The 26,448-nt window shown below is 40.2% G+C and overlaps 1 protein-coding gene across 4 annotated transcripts in view; it reads right to left on the bottom strand.

The window, feature by feature from the left end:
* Positions 1–26,448, bottom strand: part of GDPD1 (glycerophosphodiester phosphodiesterase domain containing 1) — a 55,460-nt gene that overhangs the window by 17,086 nt on the left and 11,926 nt on the right. For 3 of the 4 annotated variants that reach the window (NM_182569.4, NM_001165993.2, NM_001165994.2), the window contains exons 2-6: positions 24,351–24,393; positions 13,336–13,471; positions 10,100–10,145; positions 1,645–1,763; positions 1,045–1,134 (exon numbers count right to left, since the gene is read on the bottom strand). In NM_182569.4, coding sequence (NP_872375.2) covers positions 1,045–1,134; positions 1,645–1,763; positions 10,100–10,145; positions 13,336–13,471; positions 24,351–24,393 — 434 coding nt within the window. Of the gene's footprint in view, positions 1–1,044; positions 1,135–1,644; positions 1,764–3,961; positions 4,279–10,099; positions 10,146–13,335; positions 13,472–24,350; positions 24,394–26,448 lie in introns of those variants that run through there. The other variant, XM_017024521.2, reaches the window with a different exon arrangement.

The following is a 26,448-nucleotide window of genomic DNA, read 5'->3' as shown; positions in this document are numbered from 1 at the left end:
CTCCCAAAGTGCTAGGATTACAGGCATGAGTCATCATGCCCAGCTAAATAATTTAACTCAAAATTACACACAAAAAATTTAATTACCTAACACAAGACAGTGATTAAAAGATAGAAACTGTATTTTTTCCTTTAATACACATAATGAAATATTGGTAAGCAACTAACATTAGCATGTGAAAATAATAATTCCTTGAACCAGTTCAACTGCATTGACCTTATATTGCTAGGTTCAAATCCATTATCTCTACTATATTAAACTTCTGGCTAGTTGCTTCCACCCAGTACCATCTACCTGTGTATGAAGGCTATGAAATAAGATAAGTGTTTGTTTGTTTTTTTTGAGACAGAGTCTTGCTCTGTTGCCCAGACTGGAGTGCAGTGGCATGATCTCAGCTCACTGCAACCTCTGCTTCCCGGGTTCAAGTGATTCTTCTGCCTCAGCCTCCTGAGTAGCTGGGACTACAGGCACGTGCCACCATGCCCAACTAATTTTTATATTTTCATAGAGACAGGGTTTCACCATATTGGCCAGGTTGGTCTCGAACTCCTGACCTTATGATCCACCTGCCTTGGCCTCCCAAAGTGCTGGGATTACAGGCGTGAGCCACTGCGCCCGGCCTGAAATAAGATGCTTTAAAAATTATTACTGTAATAAGGGCCAGGCACAATGGCTCACACCTGTAATCCCACCACTTTGGGAGGCCAAGGCAGGAGGATTGCTTGAGTCCAAGAGTTTGATACCAGAGTGGGCAATATAGTGAGACCTCATCTCTACTAAAGATTTAAAAATTAGCTGGGTGCAGTGGTGTGTGCCTGTAGTCCCAGCTACTTGAGAGGCTGAGGCAGGAGGATCACTTGAGCCCAGGAGTTTGAGGCTGCAGTGAGCTATGATTGCACCACTGCACTCCAGCCTGGGTGACAGGGTGAGACCCTATCTCTAAAAATAAGAAAAAGAAAAAAAATTATTACTATAATAACTTATCATTTGTAGATACAAAACAACAACAAAGATAGATAATTCTGTATCATTTTTGAAGCTTACCTCTTTGTAGCACTTTTCTACAATTTCATAATTGGCATTACCCCACACTGTTAAGTGTTCTCGATTATACCGCTTCACCAACTCTGAAACCTACGTGTGAAAATTCAAAATTTTATGCATGTGCCTATTTGCAAATCCACTAACAACATTTCACTTAAAAAATGAATTAGAATTGACTATCTGTGAATGAATAGCATAACTTTTGGAAGAATCAATATGTAAATTTAGAATATTTTATAAAATGCAAAATTTATTCACATTATATCATTATATAATTTATTTAACAGAATAGAGTTATTTAGTAATTTGACATAAACTAACCATGAATGAAACAAGTTAAACTAGAAGATAATTACATAAATGCCAGAATGATTGGTTCATACAACCTTATTTTATCCATGACATGCCAACTCTCTCTGAAAATAGGCTCTCTCCTACAGTAAAATGATCTCTTCTACTAAGGCATTATTTAAAACAATGCTGATCCCTAGGGTATCACATTTCCTTGAGCATTATCAATCTATGCAGTCACTGACTCTAACCTTATTTAGTTTGTGAAATAGGATGCAACACACCCAGAGGAGGCAATGCCTTGAGTACCTTCTTAATCAGCACATTGTTGTTGACTTTGATATCGATGTTAATGGGAGTGTTAGGAAAGGCCTCAAAAACTTCCTTCAGTAATGGAATTCGGTTATCTTTTCCTTCACACTGGCATGCTGAGAAAGCAAGATTTTTAAATGTATTTTTTAAATATAAGTTTTACTTTTTGATGACTAGAGAAGGTATTGTATATATTCATTAAAGGACATTTATAAAATAAGGAAAAGTATAGAGAAGAAAAAAATCATGTAAATCCAACAACTTAGATATAAATGCTATGACCATCTGGTGTACTTTCTCTACTCTTTTTTCCTATGCATGATTTAATATACTAATAATATGATGTGCTACAGATTTTAACTTGATATTTTCACATAAAAATAAATATTTTCCTGTTGATTTACTGTGCTTATGATTATGATTTATTAATTTTTTATTTTGAGATAACTACAGATTCACAATCAATTGTAAGAAATAATAGGGTCCATGTACCCTTTACCCAGATTTCCCAGTGGTAACCTTCTTGCAAATCTATAGTACAATATCACAACCATGATACTGACATTGATACAATCCACCGATCTGATTCTATCATAATTTTTTAAAAGATGTCAAAATACTCCATTGAGTAGCTATACAATAATTTATTTTAATTTAACCATTTCCCTACTAGTAGATACTGAGATTGTTTCTAAAGTTTTGCTATATCATCATTGACTTTTTCAGAGATTAAAAATAACATTCAGGCAAGGGAAGTATACACTAAATCAGTAATGTGTTGAAGAATTATATGAATGCAGTTATTCAAAGAAAATTCAAGTAATGAAAAAATTAGAAGGGGACTTTAATTGTTCTTTATATTTCCTGAGGATTATTTTCTTTAGTCTTTCTCTAGTCTCTTTTTTGTTTGTTTGTTTGTTTGAGACAGGGTCTCACTCTGTCGCCCAGACTGGAGTGCAGTGACACGATCTCAGCTCACTGCAACCTCTGCCTCCTGGGCCCAAGTGATCCTCCCACCTTGACCTCCTGAGTAGCTGGAACTACAGGAGCACCATCACGCTCGGCTAATTTTTTTGTAGTTTTTGTAGAGATGGGGTTTTGCATTTGGCCAGGCTGGTCTCAAAATCCTGAGCTCAAGTGATCTGCCCGCCTCGGCCTCCCGAAGTGCTGGGATTACAGGCATGAACCATGTACCCGGTCCCTTTTTTGTTGTTTTTTTGAGACAGGATCTTGCTCATAGCCAAGGCTGGAGTGCAGTAGCATGATGATGGCTCACTGCGGCCTCCCACACTCCAGCAATCCTCTGGCACTACAGGCATGCACCACCACGCCCATATATATATATGTGTGTGTGTGTGTGTGTATATATATATATATATACGTGTGTATATATATATATATATATACGCGTATATATATATACGCGTATATATATATATACATATATACGCGTATATATATATATATATATATATTTTTTTTTTTTTTTTTTTTGAGACGGAGTTTCGTTCTTGTTGCCCAGGCTGGAGTGCGATAGTGCGATCTCGGCTCACAGCAACCTCCGCCTCCCAGGTTCAAGTGATTCTCCTGCCTCAGCCTCCTAAGTAGCTGGGATTACAGGCGCCCGGCACCACACCTGGCTAATTTTTTGTATTTTTAGTAGAGGCAGGGTTTCACCATGTTGGCCAGGATGGTCTCAAACTCCTGGCGTTCGGTGATCCACCAGCCTTGGCCTCCCAAAGTGCTGGGATTACAAGCGTGAGCCACTGTGCCCGGCCTATTGTTTATTTTATTTTTTGTAGAGACAGGGTCTCACTGTATTTTGCCCAGGCTGGTCTTGAACTTCTGATCTCAAGCAAACCTCCTGCCTCAGCCTCCCTAAGTGCTGGGATTACAGGTGTGAGCCACCACACCTGGCTCTCTAGTCCCTTTTGACTCTAATTACTCTAATCATTTATATAATTTACTATACATACTATATAACTATTGTAAAAATTGTTCTGCTTCCGTCTGAACCTTCAATTCCACTAATCTGCAAATAACAAAATGGTGAAAATCCTTTATTCCGTCTTATTATATGGCAAATCAAAATAAAGATGCATTATCAAAAAGTAAATGAAATCCATGTCAGAAAATTAAATTATTTATAATTATACCCTGTGTGAAAAGCAGCATGTACATTAAAGGGGAAAAAAAGGAAAAGTCTGTTACTATACTTCTTGTAATTCTGATGGGGCTCTGGGTTACTCTGATGGGACTGTCAATCATTGGCTCTGCCTCTCTGACCACAGACTAAATATATGACCAGTCTAACCTGTTAAGCATAACAATATGGACACTGGGAGAGAAGCCTCTTGAAATCCTTTGCTGAACGGATCATGTACAAGCTGCCAAGAGTTCATCTCTGTGGAAAGGGTGTCCCTAAAAGCAAAGCTAACACAAATGAAAGCAAAAGCAAGAAACGGAGATAGAGAGAGACCAATTACTGCTTGAGCAACTGGAATCAGTCATGTCTGAGGGCATATAACCCCTGGACTTTCTAATTATGAAAACCAATATATTCATTTTTAATTTTTTTCTTAAGCTATCTTGAGATGTGCATCTAACACTTATAACTGAAAGAGTTTAAACTTATCATAGGCTACATAATTAAACTCTAAAAATTATGTTTATAGTAGATAGCTTATATATATATGTATATATATTTTGAGACAGGGTCTCAATCTGTCACCCAGGCTGGAGTGCAGTAGCATGACCACAGCTCACAGCAGCCTTGAACTCCTCAGCTCCAGTGATCCTCCTGCCTCAGCCTCCAAATAGCTGAGATTAGAGGCATGTGCCACCACGCTTGGCTTTTCTTTTTTTTTTTTTTTTTTTGAGACGGAGTCTCACTCTGTCACCCAGGCTGCAGTGCAGCGGTGCCATCTCGGCTCATCGCAACCTCTGCCTCCCGGGTTCAAGTGATTTTCCTGCCTCAGTCTCCAGAGTAGCTGGGATTACAGGCATCTGCCACCACGCCTGGCTAATTTTGTATTTTTAGTAGAGACGGGGTTTCTCCATGTTGTTCAGGCTGGTCTTGAACTCCCAATCTCAGGTGATCCGCCTGTCTCAGCCTCCCAAAGTGCTGGGATTACAGGCGTGAGCCACCGCACCCGGCCCTTTTTTTTTTTTTTTTTTTAAGTAGAGATGAAGTCTTGCTTTGTTGGCCAGGTTGGCCTTGAATTCTTGGCCTCAAGGGATCCTCTCACCTTGGCCTCCTTGAATGCTGGGATTATAGGCATTATCCAGCATGTTTTTTACCTACCCAACATTCTTCCTTCCTTTGGAAACCTGTATTTCACATCTCACATTGTTGTGATAGAGCTGTCACCACAGTACCCACTGTCCATTCACCCTCGGGGATGGGCATATGATCATAATAGCCCATTTCTTTTCTTCAGGATGGCCACATGACCCAAGCTGGGCCAATCAGTGTCTTTCTCCGGGACTTCACGCTTGAAGCTCATAAGGAAGACTGCCTTTTTGTCACGGTGTGGGCAAATTAAAAAATTAATTTAGCAGTCAAGTAAGATGCATGTAAGAATCAGTTTACAAAAAGGTCAAACAGATGAAACTAACTTTGGAACAGCAAAAAAATACATAAGAATATTCTATCTAACAGCGAGAGAATGAGAAAACTAAAATGTGTGCTGAGGCAAAAAAAGTGCTATAGTGATGTAAAGATACAAATATTAGGCCAGGTGCAGTGGCTCACTCCTGTAATCTCAGCACTTTGGAAGGCTGAGGTGGGAAGATTGCTTGAGGCCAGGAATTCAAGACCAATCTGACCAACATAGCGAGACCTGATCTCTACTTAAAAATAATAATACATAAATTAGATGCCTCAGCCAGCTTAGAATGTAGAAAAACATTTGGAAAAAGAGAAGTTTGCCCCAGTATTTTTCTAGGCAGAAGATAACCAGCTAGGAAGTGGTGGACTACAAAAAGAAAAGAGGAAAATAACAGGAAATAGGAAAGATAGACAAGGAGTATGCCATAGGATGTGTTGGTTGATGGAATAGTGGCCCCTATGCAAGTTAGGGGCCACTATTTAAATAGTTTTCACTATTTGGGGAACTTTAAAACAATAATTATAGTCAACTGTAGATTATCCAAATTTTGTGTTTTCCATGAAAAAAAAAGGTTACCTTCAAATAATCAGGATAGATAATAACAAACCATTTGGTTAACACTTTTTTTTGTTGTTGAGACAGTCTCGATCTGTTGCCCAGGCTGAAGTGCAGTGGCATGATCTCGGCTCACTGCAATCTCCACCTCCTGGGTTTCAGCGATTCTCCTGCCTCAGAAGTAGCTGGTATAACAGGCGCACGCCACCATGTCCAGCTAGTTCTTGTATTTTTAGTAGAGACGGGGTTTCACCATGTTGGCCAGGCTGGTCTCGAGCTCCTGACCTCAGGTGATCTTCCTGCCTCAACCTCCCAAAGTGTAAGGATTACAGGCGTGAGCCACCGCACCAGGCCAATTCAGCGTATTTTTTTTTTTGAGACAGTCTCGCTCTGTTGCCCAGGCTGGAGTGCAGTGGCACGATCTCTGCTCACTGCAACATCTGCCTCCCGGGTTCAAGTGATTCTCCAGCCTCAGCCTCCCGAGTAGCTGGGGCTACAGGTGTGCACCACCACAATTGGCTAATTTTTGTATTTTGGCCAGGCATGGTGGCTCATGACTAATCCCAGCCCTTTGGGACGCTGATGTGGGTGGATCACCTGAGGTCAGGAATTCAAGACTAGCCTGGCCAACAAGGTGAAACCTCGTCTCTACTAAAAATACAAAAATTAGCTGGGAGTGGTGGCGGGCACCTGTAATCCCAGCTACACAGGAGGCCGAGGCAGGAGGATTGCTTGAACCTGGGAGGCAGAGGTTGCAGTGAGCTGAGATTGTGCCACTGGACAACAGAAGCAAAAGCTCATCTCAAAAAACAATAATAAAAATTTAAAAATTTTTGTATTTTTAGTACAGACAGGGTTTCGCCATGTTGGCCAAGCTGGTCTCAAACTCCTAACCTCAAGTGATCCACCTGCCTCGGCCTCCCAAAGTGCTGGGATTACAGGTGTGAGCCACCGTGCCCAGCCTGGTAAGCAAGAATTCTATGCAAGGGAATAGGATAGAAAAAACGGAACCACTTTTTGACTAATCTGAGTCAAGTTTCTTGTTTTCTTTTCTTTTCTCTTTTTTTTTTTTTTTTTTTTGAGACTGAGTCTCACTTTGTGCAGTGACACAATCATGGCTCACTGCAGCCTCAACCTCCTGGGCTCAGCAATCCCCCCACCTCAGCCTCCCTAGGTAGGCCCACAGGTGCATACCACCATGCCTGGCTAATATTATTTTTATTATTTTTGTAAAGATGGAGTCTCTGTATGTGGCCCAGGCTGGTCTCGAACCCCTGGGATCAAGTGATCCTCCTGCCTTAGCCTCCCAAAGTGCTGGGATTACAGATGTGAGCCACTGCCATTGTTCTGAGTCAAGTTTTTACACACGGTTTATTAGTCTGTTCCAAATGCAGTCAACTTCACATTTGAGGATCAGTCCTAAAGTCAATTATGACATGAGATGAATGCAATATAAAATGAAAGCTTATTATTATTTCTTTCAGATGTCTGAAACTTGACAGTACACAGTGTTGTTCTTTTTTTTTTCCACAGCATTGTTCTTTTTTTTTTTGAGACACAGTCTTGCTCTTGTTGTCCAGGCTGGAGTACAATGGCGTGATCTCAGCTCACTGCAACCTCTGCCTCCCAGGTTGAAGTGATTCCCCTGCCTCAGCCTCCCAAGTAGCTGGGATTATAGGTGCATGTCACCATGCCCGGCTAATTTTTGTATTTTTAGTAGAAACAGGGTTTCACCGTGTTGGCCAGGCTGGTCTCGAACTCCTAACCTCAGGTGATCCACCTGTCTCGGCCTCCCAAAGTGTTGGGATTACAGGCGTGAGCCACTGCACTGGACCCACAGCATTGTTCTTAATACAACATTTGGGAATAGTGTTCCAATGGAGAGGGAGTATGGTACAGCTGAACACTGGTCTGCTAAGATAGAGACCTAGTTCAAGTTCTAGCATTGTTATTTCCTTGTTATATGAAATTGATTAAGTTAATTTGCATCTTTAGACTTCAATTTCCTTGTCTATAACAGAAGACAAGATTAGACAGTCTCAAAGGTCTCTTCACATTCAAAAATTGGCCAGGTGTGGTGGCTCATGCTTATAATCCTAGCATTTTGGGAGGGCAAGGGGGGGTCAGGTAAATCAGTTGAGGCCAGCAATTCAAGACCAGCCTGGCCAATGTGGTGAAACCTCGTCTCTACTAAAAATACAAAAATTAGTCGGGTATGGTGGCGGGTACCTGTAATCCCAGCTATTCAGGTGGCTGAGGCATGAGAATCCCTTGAACCCAGGAGGTGGAGGTTGCAGTGAGCTGAGATTGAGCTACTTCACTCCAGCCTGGGCAACAGAGCAAGATTCTGCCTCAAAAGAAAGAAAAAACAGTTTCATGACTTTCTGAGGGACATACAAACCCAGGAAAACAAATAAAACTTTTTTTTTCCTCAAAGGATTTTTTTTTTTTTTTTTTTGAGACAAGGTCTCACTGTCACCCAGGCTGGAGCATAGTGGTGTGAGCATAGCTCACTGTAGCCTTGAACTCCTGGGCTCAAGGGATTCTCCCACCTCAAGTCTCTTAAATAGCTGAGACTATAGGCATATTCCACCATGACTGGCTAATATTTTTTTTAGAGACGGGGTCTTGCTATGTTGCCCAGGCTGGTTTCAACCTGTTGGTCTCAAGCAACCCTCCCGCCTTGGCCTCTCAAAGTGCTGAGATTATAGGTGTGAGCCACCACATCTGCTGGATTTTTAAATTTTTATGGGGCTTTCTTTGGCTTTGCTCTACAAAGTGAAAAATAGGAAAAACTTCATTTCTGAAATTTTCTTAACTTTCACAAGTCCAAAATTGACACAAATATTACAATAGTTTGGCAAGTATAATCGTATAAGTTACAAGAATGAAGAAAAGTTTCCTCAAACCAACAACTTCAACTTACCTGGAAATTGAAATCAAACACATCTGAGGTTTAAATATCCCTTAGAAATAGCTAATGTTAAATTTTTTCTGATTTTTATTTCATTTTCAAAAATTCCCCTATCAGTGGTCAATTTTTTTTTTTTTAAGAGACAGGGTCTTGCTATGTAGCCCAAGCTAGACTCCAACTCTTGGGCTCAAATGAGCCTCCCAACTCAGTCTCCCAAGTAGCTGGGACTAGAGGTGTACGTCACCACACCTGGCTTGGCCAATTTAAAATCTAGTTCACGGAGCAGTTATAGTTCTTTTAAAAAATTAATATAAATGGAGCTGACATTTAACCAAGGTTTCAACTATATACAAATCATACCAAGATTCATGATATGTAACATCTTTTGGTTTTATTGAGTTATACATTTGAATCATTCAAAAATGTGAGGCTGACTTGTGACAATGAGGGAGCCTATATATGTTCAGCACATACCTTAAGGTGGTATATTTTCCATTCTAACATCTGAAGTAACTAACAAGTTGGGTCAAGGGACATGTTTCTTTGTGAGAAATGTTCCCTCAGAAGAAAACAGCTAACTGAAGATGACTAGGAAATGTTTTATTTGAATGACAGAAGTCTGTTTAATCATTTAAAATATGGAGCAGCTAAAAGACAGAACTAAATATTATGGAACCAGAAAGGATTTGAAAGGGGTCCTTTCCATTTCTTTTCATTTATTTATTTATTTATTTACTTTATTTTCATTATATATATTTTTTTGAGACAGAGTTTCGCTCTTGTTGCCCAGGCTGGAGTGCAATGGCGCAATCTCAGCTCACTGCAACCTCCGCCTCCCAGGTTCAAGCCATTCTCCTGCCTCAGCCTCCCATGGAGCTGGGATTACAGGTGCGCATTACCATGCCTAGCTAATATTTTTTGTATTTTTAGTAGAGACGGGGTTTTGCCATGTTGGCTAGGCTGGTCTCGAACTCCTGACCTAAAGTGATCTGCCCGCCTCAGCCTCCCAAAGTGCTGGGATTACAGTCGTGAGCCACTGTGCCCAGCCCTTTTCATTTATTTTTTATTATATTTTTTGATGGATGACTAATATAAGTTGCGGCAATATTCTAGAATTTGAAGCTTTAGAAGTGAAATGTTTCTTGCAATCAGTGTTCAGGTTTAAGTTAACTGTACATGAATTTAAGCAGAATGAATCACTTAACTCTTTGGACCTGATAATTTCACGTCAGATAATTTTCAAGTATTCAGATTTGTAGGCCTGAGGGAACAAACTTAGAGGTCAGTTACTTTTAGTAAGAACTTACTATGACAAGAAAACACACATATGCTTCTCAACACAAATGTTTAAGCCACAAACAAAAAATATTACCTCTTTGAAATGAGACATCCAGTTTGCCAAGGTAAGGTGGGAGCTCCTTTAAAAAGATATGATTGAAAAAAAAGTTAACTCTCAAAAAATAATAAGATTTTTATGTGTTACATTAAGACACAAAGATATGCTTCTTTAACATACAGAAGACTAAAACACTTTACTAGGCACCCTTAGCAGAACATCCCCAACAGCAAATTAACCATATTACTTACTTATGCCATCTACAAAAAATATATCTGTACTATTTAATATAGACCTTTTCACAATAATATACAAAGATTTCAGTAGAAAAATGTCAGGAATACATTTTTCATTGACACAATTCAATGAAAACCAAAGAAAAATAACTAACAATTAATAGATCTTTAAACTAATTAATAATTAATGAAATGTTAATTAAAATTTAATTAGCAAATTTTGGTATAATTATAATGCTCAATACTAGTAAATATTATTTTATTTTATTTTATTTTATTTTATATTTGAGACAGGGTATCACTCTATTGCCTGGGCCGGAGTGCAGTAGCACAATTACACCTCACTGTAGCCTTGATCGTCTGAGCTCAGTGGATCCTCAGAAGGATCCATCCTTTTGGGAGGCCTTCTTTTGGCAAGCCTCAGCCTCCAAAAGCACTGGGACTATAGGCATGAGCTACCGCACCCAGCTGGCAAATGTTCTTTTACCCAATAATTTCCCTTCTGGGAGTATATTTAGAGAAATAATCTTAGAATAGAGAAAACGTTATATAAATAACTTTTATAAATACAAATATTTATATATCTTTATAAATAACTATATAAAAAGCTAAAGATAGAGAAAGCTTTATCTTTATGCATAAAGCTGTTCAGTGCAGGCTGGGTGCAGTGGCTCACCCCTATAATCCCAGCACTTTGGGAGGCTGAGGCAGGCATATCACCTGAGGCCAGGAGTTCGAGACCAGCCTGACCAACATGGTGAAACCCTGTCTCTACTAAATACGAAAAATTAGCCAGGTGTGGTGGCGCATGCCTGTAATCCCAGCTATTTGGGGGGGCTGAGGCAGGAGAATTTCTTGAACCCGGGAGGCGGAGGTTGCAGTGAGCCAAGATTGCGCCATTGCACTCCAGCCTGGGTGACGAGAGTGAAACTCTGTCTCAAAAAAAAAAAATTCAGTGCAGTGTTATCTACAATGGTGAAAACTTAGAACTAATCCAATGTCCATCAATCGAAGAATGGTTAAAAATAACTATATATCCACACAGGAGAATAACTATAGTCATTTGAAATGTTTATGAAAGATGAGTATGGAATCTGAAAGGCCAAATACAGTATGATTCCAACTATATGACATTCTGGAAAAGACAAAACTATGGAAACAGCAAAAACATCAGCGGTTGGCAGGGGATGAGGGAAGGGGGGACTGAATAGGCAGAACACAGAATGTTTAGAGCAGTGGAACCATTTTGTGTAATAGTATAATTGTGGATACATGTCATTATAAATTTGTCCAAAACCACAGAATGTACAAGAGTGAACCCTAATGTAAACTATGGACTATGAGCATTAATATTGTGTCAATATATGTACCAATCTGGTGCAGATGTTAAAAGTGGGGGACTCTGTGTCTGTGCGGTAACTGTGCTGGTATGTGGGAACTCTGTATTTTCCACTCAATTTTGCTGTAAACCCAGACGTCTCTAAAAAATAAAGTCTATTTTCTTTAAAGCATGGAAAAGGCTGGGCGTGGTGGCTCACACCTGTAATCCCAGCACTTTGGGAGGCCAAGGCAGGAGGATCAACTGAGGTCAGGAGTTCAAGACCAGCCTGGCCAACATGGTGAAACCCCGTCTCTACTAAAAATACAAAAATTAGCCAGGCATGGTGGTGCATGTCTGTAATCCCAGCTACTCAGGAGGCTGAAGCAGGAGACTAGCTTGAACCTGGGAGGCAGAGGTTGCAGTGAGCCGAGATCATGCCACTGCACTCCAGCCTGGGCGATGGAAAGTGTGGAAAAATGTTTATCTCTTATGTTTCCTTGCTCTTTTTTTTCTTTTTTTCTTATAATGTTTCTTTTTTTTTTTTTTTTTTTTTTTGAGATGGAGTCTCGCTCTTTTCAACCAGCCTGGAATGCAATGGCACGATCTCGGGTCACTGCAACCTACGCCTCCTGGGTTCAAGCGATTCTCCTGCCTCAGCCTCCTGAATAGCTGGGATTACAGGCGCATGCCAACATGCCCGGCTAATTTTTCTATTTTTAGTAGAGATGGGGTTTCACCATGTTGGCCAGGGCGGTCCCGAACTCCTGACCTCAGGTGATCTGTCTGCCCGGCTAATTTTTGTATTTTTAGTAGAGACGGAGTTTTGCCATGTTGGCCAGGCTAGTCTCGAACTCCTGACCTCTGGTGATCTGCCTGCCTCAGCCTCCCAAAGTACTGAGATTACAGGTGTGAGCCACCGAGGCCGGCCATTATCATGTTATAATTTTAAAGTGTCTAAAATTCAATATACATGATGCACAGTGAGAATACAAATCTAAAAAACATAAAAGGTAGAATCCTTCTACATAAGGTAGAATCCTGTTAACATAAGTGTTTTTTTGGCAGTAACATTATGCATGATTTTTCCTTCCGTTCATGAGTATTTACTATAATGAATATATACGTTATAATAATCTTTTTTTTTTTTGAGACAGAGTCTCACTCTTGCCCAGGCTGCAGTGCAGTGGCGCAATCTTGGCTCACTGCAACCTCCACCTCCCAGATTCAAGTGATTCTCCTGCCTCAGCCTCCCAAGTAGCTGGGATTACAGGGGCACCACCATGTCTGGCTAATTTTTGTATTTTTTAGTAGAGATGGGGTTTCACCATGTTGGCCAGGCTGGTCTCGAACTCCTGACCTCAGGTGATCCACCCGCCTCGGCCTCCCAAAGTGCTGGGCTTACAGGTGTGAGCCACTGTGCCCAGCCAATTTTCCTATATTTTAATGAAGATGGAGTCTTGCTATGTCGCCTAGCCTGATCTCAAACTCCTGGCCTCAAACAATCCTCCCATCTCAGCCTCCCAAAGTGCTGCAGTTATAGGCATGAGCCAGTACAGTTGGCCTCAAAGTAGTTTTTTAAAATTTCCTTTGATGTTTAGTATTTAATCAGTATTTAAATAATATTAGAAATTTTTTGCTGATATTCGCTATTTTAAAAAAAATCTTATAGGCCGCGACATCTATTAGATATTAGTTTATCATGCATTTTTACTTACACAGTATTTGAGATCAGAGATGTTTACATTGACCCCAGTTGCTCTCTTTAGATTCTCATCATGTGACACTACAACTTGTTCATCTTTTGTGATATGGCAGTCCAATTCTAGCATATCAGTTCCGATTTTAACCGCACTGAAGAAATAAAAGAAGAATGACATCTGACACTTAAGTATACATTTGGGTTACATGCATGAGATCTAACAATTCAGAGTTACAAATCCAAAATCCCATAATACTAAAATATCTCCTTAATACCATCACTTAGTATGACTTATTAATATGAAAATATTCTAAATGAACTGAGAATAAAAGAATCATGTTGCCTCCTTTCCATATCCAGTTATCCTTAATTCTTCAACTGAATATAATAGACAGAATACTGAATCTGAAGTTAAGAGATTTGATATTAATTCCTGCTTTGCTGTGAATTTGCATAACTTTGGGCAAGTAAATTCTTCTCTCAGGGACTACATTTTCACTTCTATAAAATGAAAGGATTAAATAACAAGACAAGGATGCTTGTTTTTATTTTTATTTATTTTATTTTTTTGAGACAGAGTCTTGCTCTGTTGCCCAGGCTGGAGTGCAATGGCATGATCATGGCTCATTGCATCCTCAAACTCCTGGGCTCAAGTGATCCTCCTGCCTCAGCCTACTGAGTAGCTGGAACTACAGATGGATGCCACTGTGCCCAGCTAATTTTTTTATTTTTAGTAGAGATAGGGTCTTGTTATGTTGTTCAGGCTGGTCTTGAACTCCTGGGCTCATGTGATCCTCCTGCCTCAGCCTCCCAAAGTGCAAGGTTTTAAAAGCATGAGCCACTGCACCTGGCCACTTTTATTACTTTGATTTAACATAGTATTGAAAGCTCTAGCAATTAGGCAAGAAAAAAATTAACAAAAGCATCCAAATTAGACAGGCACGGTAGCTCACACCTGTAATCCCAGCACTATGGGAGGCAAAAGCAGGCAGATCACCTGAGGTCAGGAGTTTGAGACTAGCCTGGCCGACAAGGTGAAACCCCATCTCTACTAAAAATACAAAAAAATTGGCCAGGTGTGGTGGCTCAGGCGTCTAATCCCAGCACTTTGGGAGGCCAAGGCGGGTAGATCACAAGGTCAGGAGATTGAAACTATCCTGGCCAACATGGTGAAACCTTGTCTCTACTAAAATACAAAATGCTCTTCTAGGAGCATTCGACTGGTAAGGGAAGAATGCCTCAAGAGAGCATGAGTACAACTCCAGTAAACACACTGCACATGTGGCCCCTCCCAAGTAGCGGCAGGCTACTGTGCATGCAGACAGCCCATCCCAAGGGAAGAATCAAGGGAGAAGGGACGCAAGACCCCGGAGTATCCCAACATATAAAACCCTAAGTCAAAGGTCAAACTGGGCACTTGATCTCTCAAGTCACCACTTGGCCCTCTTCCAAATGTACTTTACTTCTTTTCATTCCTGCTCTAAAGCTTTTTAATAACCTTTCACTCTTGTGGTAAAACTTGCCTTGGTCTCTCCTTCTGCCTTAAGCCCTCGGTCAATTTTTTTCTTCTGAGGAGGCAAGAATTGAGGTTGCTGCAGACCTCTATGGATTCACCGCCACTAACAGAAGGGCCTATGTCTGTTCCATATTTTCTAATGTTTATGGTGTTGGGCACATTGTAGGTACTAAATATATTTCTAAATGAGGGGAATGGAGCCATGTTTTCATTATCAACATCTATTAATATTTTAAATTTTAATTAATTCCAACTCAGTTGGCACCTAAGTGTTTATCAATCATGATCCAAATCCATAGTATGTAATGTGTAGTCATTCAAAGAATATAGAATTCACATGGAATAGCATTGTTGGGGTATATCTGAATTTTAAAATAGGTACGATGATGGAGATAGGAGACAGCCAAGGATCCCTGGTGGAACCCCACCTTCAAGCCTAAAACAGCCTGATGGCTGAAAGACTGAACTGTTGGTCCAGGATAAAACTGCAACCCAGAGGGAGAACTGCCCCAGTTCGCTCACTTTTTTTTTTTTTTTGGTTGGGGGGTACTGAGTTTCGTTCTTGTTGCCCAGGCTGGAATGCAACGGCACAGTCTCAGCTCACCGCAACCTCCACCTCCCAGGTTCAAGCAATTCTCCTGCCTCAACCTCTCAAGTAGCTGGGATTACAGGTGCCCCACCATGCCCACCTAATTTTTGTATTTTTGGTAAAGACAGAGTTTTACCATATTGGCCAGGCTGGTCTCAAACTCCTGACCTCAGGTGATCCACCCTCTTCGGCCTCCCAAAATGCTGGGATTACAGGCGTGAGCCACTGCACCCAGCCTGCCCACCTTTTCCTGAATAATTTTTTTTTTCTTTTAGACAGAGTCTCACTCTGTCACCCAGGCTGAAGTGCAGTGGCGTGATCTTGGGTCAATGCAACCTCTGCCTTCCAGGTTCAAGCAATTCCCACACCTCAGCTTCCCGAGTAGCTGAGATTACAGGTACCCGCCACCACACCTGGCTAATGTTTGTATTTTGAGTAGAGATGGGGTTTCACCATGTTGCCCAAGCTGGTCTCAAACTCCTGACCTCAGGTGATCTGCTTCCCAAAGTGCTGGGATCACAGGTGTGAACCACCATGCCCAGCCTCTGGACAGATTCTTTCTGAATAATGCCCACATGTGCACTGCAAGGAGGGGGTGGAGCCATGGGAATTCATCCCTTGTGCAGGGGTGAGGGGCCTGGCCTCTTCAGCTCATGTGTGGTGGCCTGGTGATCAGTCTATGAGGTGGGAGCCTGTTAGCAGGACTTCTTTTTTTGCTGAGAGCTTTCTTTTAATAAATTCCTGCTCTCGTCACCTTTGAATGTGTCTGTGTGCCTAATCTTTCCTGGTCATGTGACAAGAACCTGGTTTTAGCTGAACTAGGAGCAAAAACTATCTGCATCAATCATATGATTTTATTGATGTAAAATAAAGTTTATGTAAAAAAAGTTTGTGTGTAAATTTTTAAAATAATAGAAAGATATAAGGCCAAATCATAACAGGAGTTACCTCTTATAAGTGAGATGAGTAGGAATGGGAGTAGGAAAGTGAGCAGGCCAATTTTTTACTTCACATAGATTATTTGAGTTGTTTGAATTTTTAGAATATAAACTTTTATAATGGAAAAACAAATATACTGCCATTAAGAATATATCTCTTAGCCAGGAATGGTGGCTCACACCTGTAATTCCAGCACTTTGGGAGGCCAAGGCAGGCGAATCAACTGAGGTCAGTAGTTCAAGGCCAGCCTGGCCAACATGGGAAAACCCTGTCTCTACTAAAAATACAAAAATTAGCTGAATGTGGTGGCACAAGCCTGTAATCCCAGCTACTCGGAAGGCTGAGGCAGAAGAATCTCGTGAACCCAGGAAGTGGAGGTTGCAGTGAGCCAAGATTATGCCACTGCACTCCAGCCTGGGTGACAGAGCAAGACTCTGTCTCAAAAACAAACAAACAAACAAAAAAACCCAGAATATATTATCTCTTATCTACAAGACAATATTATTGACATCAATTTATTCAACCTCATCATAGTAAATTACAGCAGGAATTTAATCTAATAAACACTGAGCATCCTTTTATTTTTATTTTTTCAGACGGAGTTTTGCTCTTGTTGCCCAGGCTAAAGAGGAGTGGCACAATCTCGGCTCACTGCAACCTCTGCCTCCCAGGTTCAAGCGATTCTTCTGTCTCAGCCTCCTGCGTAGCTGGGATTACAAGCACCTGCCACCACGCCCAGCTAATTTTTGCATTTTTAGTAGAGATGAGGTTTCACCATGTGGCCAGAGTGGTCTCGAACTCCTGAACTCAAGTGATCCACCCGCCTCGGCCTCCCAAAGTGCTGGGATTACAGCCATGAGCCACGGCACCCAGCTCAGCTAGTGTATTTAAAAGGATGCTCAGAGGCTGGGCACGATGGCTCATGCCTGTAATCCCAGCACTTTGGGAGGCCAAGGCGGCAGATCACCTGAGGTCAGGAGTTCAAGACCACCCTGGCTAACATGATGAAACCCCGTTTCTACTAAAAATACAAATAATTAGCCAGGCATAGTGTCGCATGCCTGTAATCTCAGCTACTCGGGAGGCTGAGGCAGGAGAATTGCTTGAACCCGGGAGGCAGAGATTGCAGTGAGCCAAGATCGCACCATTGCACTCCAGCTTGGGCGACAAAAGCGAAACTCCGTCTCAAAAATAAATAAATAAATAAATACACTAGCTCACATGATTCTTATTTTATCTGTGAATCACCTATGTGGGGTAAATGTATACTCCTGTATTCTTACAACACATAATATAAAAATATTATAAAGTCATGCACCACTTAACAATGGGCGTATGTTCTGAGAAATGTATGGTCAATTTTGTCATTGTGCGGACATCACAGAGTGCACTTACACAAATCTAGATGGTATTTAAACATCTATGTTATAGAGTATAGCCTATTGTTCCGTGGTTACAAATCTGTACAGCACATTACTGTACTAAATACTACAGGCAAATGTAACACAGTGTTAAGTACTTGTGAATCTGTCTAAACACAGAAAGGGTACAATTAAAATATGATATAAAAGATAAAAATGGGACACCTGCATTAGGGCACTTATCATGAATGGAGCTTGCAGGACTGGAAGTTGCTTTTGGTGTCACTGAGTGAGTGGTGAGTGAATGGAAGGCATAGGACATTACTATACAGTACTGTAGACCTTATAAACACTGTATACTTAGGCAACATGAAATTTATTTTAAAAATAGACCTGGCACGGTGGCTCATGCCTGTAATCCCAACACTTTGGGAGGCCGAGCCAGGAGGATTGCTTGAGGTCAGGAGTTGGAGACAAGCCTGGGCAACATGGAGAGATCTCATCTTTACGAAAAAAATTTAAAAATTAGGGAGGTATAGTGGCACATCCCTGTAGTTCTAGTGACTTGGGATGCTGAGGCAGGAGGATCGCTTGAGCCCAGGAGTTCATCTATGATCATGCCACTGTACTCCAGCCTAAGAGACAAAGTGAGACCCTGTCTCTTAAAAATATAATAAAATTTAAAAAATACCTATTTAGCTTACTGTAACTTCTTTATAAACTTTTAAATTTTAAAAAACTTGACTCTTTCGTAATAATACCTTAAAACACAAACATTTTACAGCTGTACAAATATATTTTCTTTCTTTATATCCTTATTATGTAAGTTTTTTTCTATTTAACATTTTTAAACTTCTTATTTTTTTTTTTGAGACAGAGTCTCACTCTGTCACCCAGGCTGGAGTGCAGTGGCATGATCTCGGCTCACTGCAACTTCCGCTCTCCAGGTTCAAGCGATACTCCTGCCTCAGCCTTCTGAGTAGCTGGAACTACAAGCGCGCATCACCACGCCAACTAATTTTTGTATTTTTTAGTAGAGACAGGGTTTCACCACATTGGACAGGCTGGTCTCGAACTCCTGCCCTCCTGATCTGCCCGCCTCGGCCTCCCAAAGTGCTGGGATTACAGGCATGAGGCACTGCACCCAGCCAAAGTGTAAAATTAAAGGTGCAGTTGCTCCGGCCTATAATCTCAGCATTTTGGGAGGCCGAGGTGGGTGAATCATTCTACAAAACCCCGTCTCTAAAAAAAATATGAAAAATTAGCCGGGCATGGAGGCATGCCCTGTAGTCCCAGCTACTAGGGAGGCTGAAGTGTGAGGATCGCTTGAGCTGGAGAGGGGGAGGTTAAAAAAAAAAAAACAGTGTGTCCTATGCTGGCAATTAAAAAAAAAAAAAACTATACATATTACCTCAGAAATCTTTCTAAGTTTGAAGTTTGTCTCTAGCTGAAATGCTGGCTATTTTTAGAAATGTTTAGGAATTATTTGAAAAATATTTTCTATGTATGCTTATTGTTATTGACAAACTAATAGATAAAAAAATTAGAACAATAATAAGTGTATCTAGGACAACTTGTAAATTATTCTAGTAAAATTATCCCAAATTTGATATGTAAATAGCTAGAACACAGTGAGAAAAATTTTTTTATCACTTTTGCCTTCAAAAATTTCCATGAATAACAACATGCACCTACTTCCATTGAAATATCAGATATTTTATAGCTGAATTTCTGACAAGCTGTTGACAAATACAAAAAAAAATACAAAAAAGAAGTTGGAGATGCCAAGGTTTCAACATTTCCAGAAAAAGAAATAAAAACTCTAGCTCTAAAAGAAAATGTGAAAGAAACTCCACAGAAACAATGCATAACAACTTAAAATAGGCACCATGTTAAAGAATTTATTTGAATCTCATTTACTCTTCACAACACTGAGGTTGTATCACTATTCCCATTTCATAGATAGTCATATTAATTAGATATTCTAAAATATTTATCATGAGAACCAGGTCACTGATTAATTACTCTGGCTGTCTGCCAACTTACACTTCTAGCTATTGCTAATACAATTTGCTTCTTTCTCCTTACCATTCCGGCTAATACTATAGGTATCACATTGTCCTACGGGTATTTCCTAAGGCAGCCTGGTTTAATAACCTAGTTTTATTAGCCCTTGAGAACCACATCTTACATACTCAAGGGTTTAGTGGCTCTGTGTATATGTGTATAGTACAATTCCTTAGTTTTTGCTTCTGTGCTTTACTATGAAGGAGGCTCTGTCTCCTTCATCAGTCTTTTGCTAATGTTCTGCTTTATTCCTGAATGTCCCATTCCATATTTCATTCAGTAAGCAACTAGTGAGTGTCTATTTATGTCAGAGCCTGAGTTAGGCATTAAGAATTTTGAAATCAGTAAGAAAAGATTCCTGCTCCTAATGAAATAACACAAGGCTGGGTGCGGTGGCTCACACCTGTAATCCTAGCACTTTGGGAGGCTAAGGCAGGTGGATCACAAGGTCAGGAGATCGGGGCCATCCTGGCTAACATGGTGAAACCCTGTCTCTACTACAAGTACAAAAAATTAGCTGGGCATGCTGGCATGCGCCTGTAGTCCCAGCTACTCGGGAGGCTGAGGCAGGAGAATCGCTTGAACCTGGGAGGCAGAGGTTGCAGTGAGCCGAGATCTTGCCACTGCACTCCAGCCTGGGCAACAGAGTGAGACTCCGTCTCGGAAAAAAAAAAAAATAAAAAATAATAGAAGAGCCATATTCATAACCTAAGGGAGATGGTGTTTGTGAAAGCATGTTATAAACCACATTAAAGGATATTTCATACATTGTGAGACATAATTACTTCTGTCAGTTTTAATTACTTCTTTTTTTTTTTTTTTTTTGAGATGGAGTTTCACTCTTGTTGCCCAGGCTGGAGTGCAATGGCACAATCTTGGCTCACTGCAACCTCCGCCTCCTGGGTTCAAGTGATTCTCCTGCCTCAGCCTCCCAAGTAGCTGGGATTACAGGCATGCGCTACCATGCCCAGCTAATTTTGTCTTTTTAGTAGAGATGGGGTTTCTCCGTGTTGGTCAGTCTGGTCTCAAACTCCCGACCTCAGGTGATCCACCCGCCTCGGCCTCCCAAAGTGCTGGGATTACAGGCATGAGCCACCATGCCCGGCCTTTTTTTTTTTTTTTTTTTTTTTTAAGACGGAGTCTTGCTCTGTTGCCCAGGCTGTGCCCAGCTAATTTTTAAATTTTTAGTAGAGATGGGGCTTTGCCATGTTCGCCAAGCTGGTCTCGAACTCCTCATCTCAAGTGATCCGCCTGCCTTGGCCCCACAAAGTGCTGGGATTACAGGTGTGAGCCACTGCACCCAGCTGACCCTACATTTTCAAAATAGCTCCTTCTTGTCTTCAAATGACAGCCCTTCTAGTCTTAATACCTTTTGATTTTCTGGTTAATTTTAATCAGGCTTCCCACACCAACTATTTATATTGTCATTAATATCTCCTCATCTTCACCTCCATTTTGAAATTTATATGCTTTGTGAAATGTGTATTTAAATATGTACATAAATAAGATCTAAGTTTTAGCTGGTCATTTTATTTTTACTATCTCTCCCTCAACTACCCATGCTATCAAGAATATACCATACTTAAGCATAGTATGTATCTTCTCCTGATTGTACATTACAACTCTTTAGTATTTTAATATACAGTACCTTTAAAACAGTATGTTTATTTATTTTTATTTATTTATTTATTTTGAGACAAGGTCTGGCTCTGTCACTCAGGCTGGAGTACAGTGGTGCCATCTCGGCTCACTGTAACCTTTACCTTCCAGGCTCAAGCCATCCTCCAACCTCAGCCTCCAGAGTAGCTGTGACTACAGCTTGCACCACCACGCCCGGTTAATTTTTTTTGTGCATTTTCTAGAGATGGGGTTTCACCCTGCTGCCCAGGCTGGTCTTGAACTTGTGAGCTCCAGTGACCTACCAGCCTTGGCCTCCCAAAGTGCTGGGATTACAGGTGTGAGCTACTGCGACTGGCCAAAATAGTATGTTTAAACAGTCTTTTCTTGTTATTCAATGAAACAAGTATGAAAACAAAACAAAACAAAAAAAAACCTTCTAAGTTTCCTAGCAGTTAACAGTAGAATATTTGTAATTTTTTGAACTACAATTTTAAAAAGTATGTATTCATAGCAAGGGCACTAATGTGTAACACACATACACAAACCACCACCACTAACAACGAAAAACTCAAAAAAAGAGGGGTTTTATATAAATTTCTAGGTCAGTTGATAAGCAGCCTTACAAATAAATACATCTAACAAACATTAACAATAGCATATGAAAGGTTGGGTGCGGTGGCTCACGCCTGTAATCCCAGCACTTTGGGAGGCCAAAGTGAGCAGATCACTTGAGGTCCGTAGTTCGAGATCAGCCTCGCCAGCATAGCAAAACCTTGTCTCTATTAAAAAAATAAATAGATAAAACTAAAAACTAGCCGAGAGAGGTGGCGGGCACCTCTAATCCCAGGTATTCGGGAAGCTGAGGCAGAGAAATCATTTGAACCTGGGAGGTGGAGATTGCCGTGAGCTGAGATCCCGCCATTGCACTCCAGCCTGGGTGACAGAGCAAGACTCTGTCTCAAACAAACAAACAACAACAACAACAACAACAAAAATAGCATGTGAAAGAGGTGTTCCCTTCTTCTGAAGTACTAGAAAAATCTCCAAAAAATTTTTTTTAAGTAATAGAAAGCTTCCACATGATACAGAAGGCTGTGGTACTTTTCAGTAGTTACTATTTGAACAAAACTATATAAAAACTGTTCAAGATGAAAAATATGTTGTATTTAGCAAGTAAAAACCATTTAAATTAGATATCCTTTAAATATCAGAAAAATGTTAAGAGGATTAAAATCTTCAAAGGTTAGAAAAAATTGTGATATTTTCAAATGTATCATCCTTTAAAATAACTTATTGTATAACCCAGTGTTTTAATTTCATAAATAATGGTGGTTGGTAAAAATTTAACAAAAAAATATGGAGAAAAACATAAAATAATGTACCTTAAGCATGAAGAATGCTAAAATCACTCAAAGTTATGAGTAGTTTTTTTCTCAAGTTATATGTATGACCTACCTCAGGGGCAACAGATGATATATGATAGTGTGTGTATATGTTGTATAATTTGTACACATAAAATTATACATCTATATTTAGTTATGGCTAGCTAGCCAGATATGTAATCCAAGTAGAGAAAATAAATAAAGTATTTAAATTAAAATAGTCCATTTCATGGTCTGTGATAGGAGGAAAAATTTTACTTTTTTTTTTTTTTTTTGAGATAGAGTCTCACTCTATTGCCCAGGCTGGAGTGCAGCAGTGCAATCTCGGCTCAATGCAACCTCTGCCTCTCGGGTTCAAGCAATTCTCATGCCCCAGACTCCCGAGTAGCTGGGCTTACAGGCGCATGCCACCACGCCCAGCTAATTTTTGTATTTTTAGTAGAGATGGGGTTTCACCACGTTGGCCAGGCTGGTCTTGAACTCCGGACCTCAGGTGATTAACCTGCCTCGCCTTGGCCTCCCAAAGTGTTGAGATTACAGGTGTGAGCCACCATGCCTGGCCAAAATTTTACATTTTTGTAAGAGGCTTTTGAGATCATAAACAAAAGGCATCATAGTATAGAACAAGAAGAGTAAGAGATGACAAATACAAGGAAGATAGGATTTAGGTGAAACTAGAATATGAAAAAACAATAGCTTTGTACCTAATAATAATAGGAAAAATAATCTCTAAGGTGTCTTTGAATGGTGAGAAGCAGAACAAAAAGTGAAGTCAAATTCTCCAAATTTCTTAGTCCCAATTATATACATTAATTGGCTCAAAAATTATATAAGAAAATATTTATCTTACTAAATATGGACCTTACTAATTATGGATAGGTAATGTCTTTCATTGGGTTTAACTTTTCACATCCTTTGCTTTATTTTTCAGGAAAAACAGTGTTCTCATGATTACCATAGACTGATGATAATCATTGACTCTAAGACAAAGAACGAGGTATTAATTAGTTTTCATTCCTGTCTCTCCTGCTGCTTCTCTGTGAGGTGCTCTAAAAGACACTTATATGAAATTATATATAGGAATTTAAAAATGTATTTTATTTGAAAAAAAAAAAAAGATCAACACTCCTGAGGCTTCCAAGAAGAAACCAGATTGCAGGTTCAGTTCTGTACAAAAATTACTGGGTACAAAGACACATAATCCTGTTCATAAATAGCAGCCACTGTAACAGTTGTTTCATTTTCTCTTTCTCTCCAAGACTAATTAGCATTATACACAGTACATTCCTTGTTACAAATGTCTTCTTTCAGCTTTGTAACTATAGTATCTTTTGATTACCCTAAACTCCCATCTGCTTTTTCAGTAATACAGAAGCCAAACTCTTTGTAACACTTCTGACCAACTAATTAAAAAAAGAAATTTTAACAAAATAGAAACAACTATCACAAACTGATGCTACACTTACACTATCCTCACTTTGTGGATCATCATCACTTTAAAGAAAGCCTGCAAACTGTAAAAGAAAAGAGTACCTTTTACCTTTTTTACATACTTACTGCTGAAAGGCTGCCATTGTATTCTCCAAATTTTCTCCAGCACCTGTGAAAATTTAAACTATATTTACTTATTTTGAACATTTTAATTTTCCTGAAGTTAATTTTAATAAAATACACCTAATGAATCTTGACCTTTTTTTTTTTTTTGGGGGTAGACATTACAAGTGTTTTTTTGGGTTTTTTTGAGACGGAGTCTTGCTCTGTCACCCAGGCTGGAGTGCAGTGGCGTGATTTCGGCTGACTGCAAGCTCCGCCTCCCGAGTTCACACCATTCTCCTGCCTCAGCCTCCTGAGCAGCTGGGACTACAGGCGCCCGCCTCCACGCCCGGCTAATTTTTTTTTTGTATTTTTAGTAGAGACGGGGTTTCACCGTGTTAGCCAGGATGATCTCGATCTCCTGACCGCGTGATCTGTCCATCTCGGCCTCCCAAAGTGTACAAGTGTTTTAAAGAGTGTAATGGTACAGGTTCAGTATCCCTTATCCAAAATGCTTGGGCCTGGAAGTGTTTTGGATTTCTGACTTCTTTAGATTTTGGAATATCTGCATATATATAATGAGAGATCTTGGGGATAGAACCCAAGCCTAAACATAAAATTTATTTAGTTTTCATATACTCCTCATACACATAGCTTGAAGATAATTTTACACAATATTTTAAATAATTTTATGCACGAAACAAAGTTTGTGTACACTGAACCATCAGAAAACAAAGGAGCCACTCTCTTCATCATTCATGAGAACAATCTGTAGTTGTTTGGCATCACCATCATTCTTGACTGAATTTATAGGCTACCGATAAGCATTTTCTTACACTTATTCATACATAAGTACTTAACAGTAAAAAATACGAAATACCACTAATGCAATGAAAAAATAATGTTCAGGGTAACTAAGTAACATAGTAGCATCACCAGAATACCTATATCAGTTGTTAAAAACAGCAACAAAAAAGGCAGGTGTTTAGTCTCCACCTGTCTCATTGTTTTGTTTTTGTTTTTTCTTTCTTTTTTTTTTTTTTTTTTGAGACGGAGTCTCGCTCTGTCGCCCAGGCTGGAGTGCAGTGGCACTATCTCGGCTCACTGCAAGCTCCGCCTCCCGGGCTTACGCCATTCTCCTGTCTCAGCCTCCCGAGTAGCTGGGACTACAGGCGCCCACCACCACGCCCGGCTAATTTTTTGTTTTTTAGTAGAGACGGGGTTTCACCGTGTTAGCCAGGATGGTCTCCATTTCCTGACCTCGTGATCCACCCGCTTCAGCCTCCCAAAGTGCTGGGATTACAGGCGTGAGCCACCGCGCCCGGCCTGTTTTGTTTTTTCTTGAGACAGATCATCACTCTGTTGCTCAGGCTGAAGTGCAGTGGCATGATCTCGGCTCACTGCAACCTCCACCTGAAAGGTTCAAGTGATTCTTGTGCCCCAGCCTCCTAAGTAGCTGGGATTACAGGTGTGTGCCACCATGCCTGGCTAATTTTTATACTTTTAGTAGAGATGGGGTTTTGCCATGATGGCCAGGCTGGTCTTGAACTCCTGGCCTCAAGTGATCTGCCCACCTCAGCCTCCCAAAGTGCTGGGATTACGGGTGTGAGCCACTGCATCCAGCCTCACTGTGTTTTGATTAAAAAATTACCATACACTGTTATTTTTTTTTTAAGTGAGAAGAAACATCAGAAGTAGTTGAAGGACCAGGAAGTGGGTTCTCTAGGAGTGAGGGGGAATTCTGCTAGATGGCTTTTTAAAATGTTTCCTCCAGAGTCATGTGCCTTACTGACAAGTTTTTGTCTTAGAAGTCTCTCTTTGATTTTATAAAAGAACATGATTTCTTGTCCTGTTATAAATGCACCCTGCTCTAGTCCTTCAATAAGCTCATCACATATTTTCATCATGTTGTCTATGGGCACTTTTTATGCCATGTTAACATCATCTATATTGTTATAATGTCTATTATCATGATCACCTTGATTCAGAACCATTTTGGCTATTTCACCATTGGTCAATTAATGAACAACTAGAACCTCATGATCAACGTTAAAAACTTCTTCGATATCCATTTCTTTCAGTGTACTGACAAATTTTTTTTTTTTTTTTGAGACGGAGTCTC

This window comes from Homo sapiens, chromosome 17 (genome assembly GCF_000001405.40).
Source record: "Homo sapiens chromosome 17, GRCh38.p14 Primary Assembly".
In the NCBI taxonomy this organism is placed as follows: Eukaryota; Metazoa; Chordata; class Mammalia; order Primates; family Hominidae; genus Homo; species Homo sapiens.
This window is presented reverse-complemented; position numbering and strand designations above follow the sequence as displayed.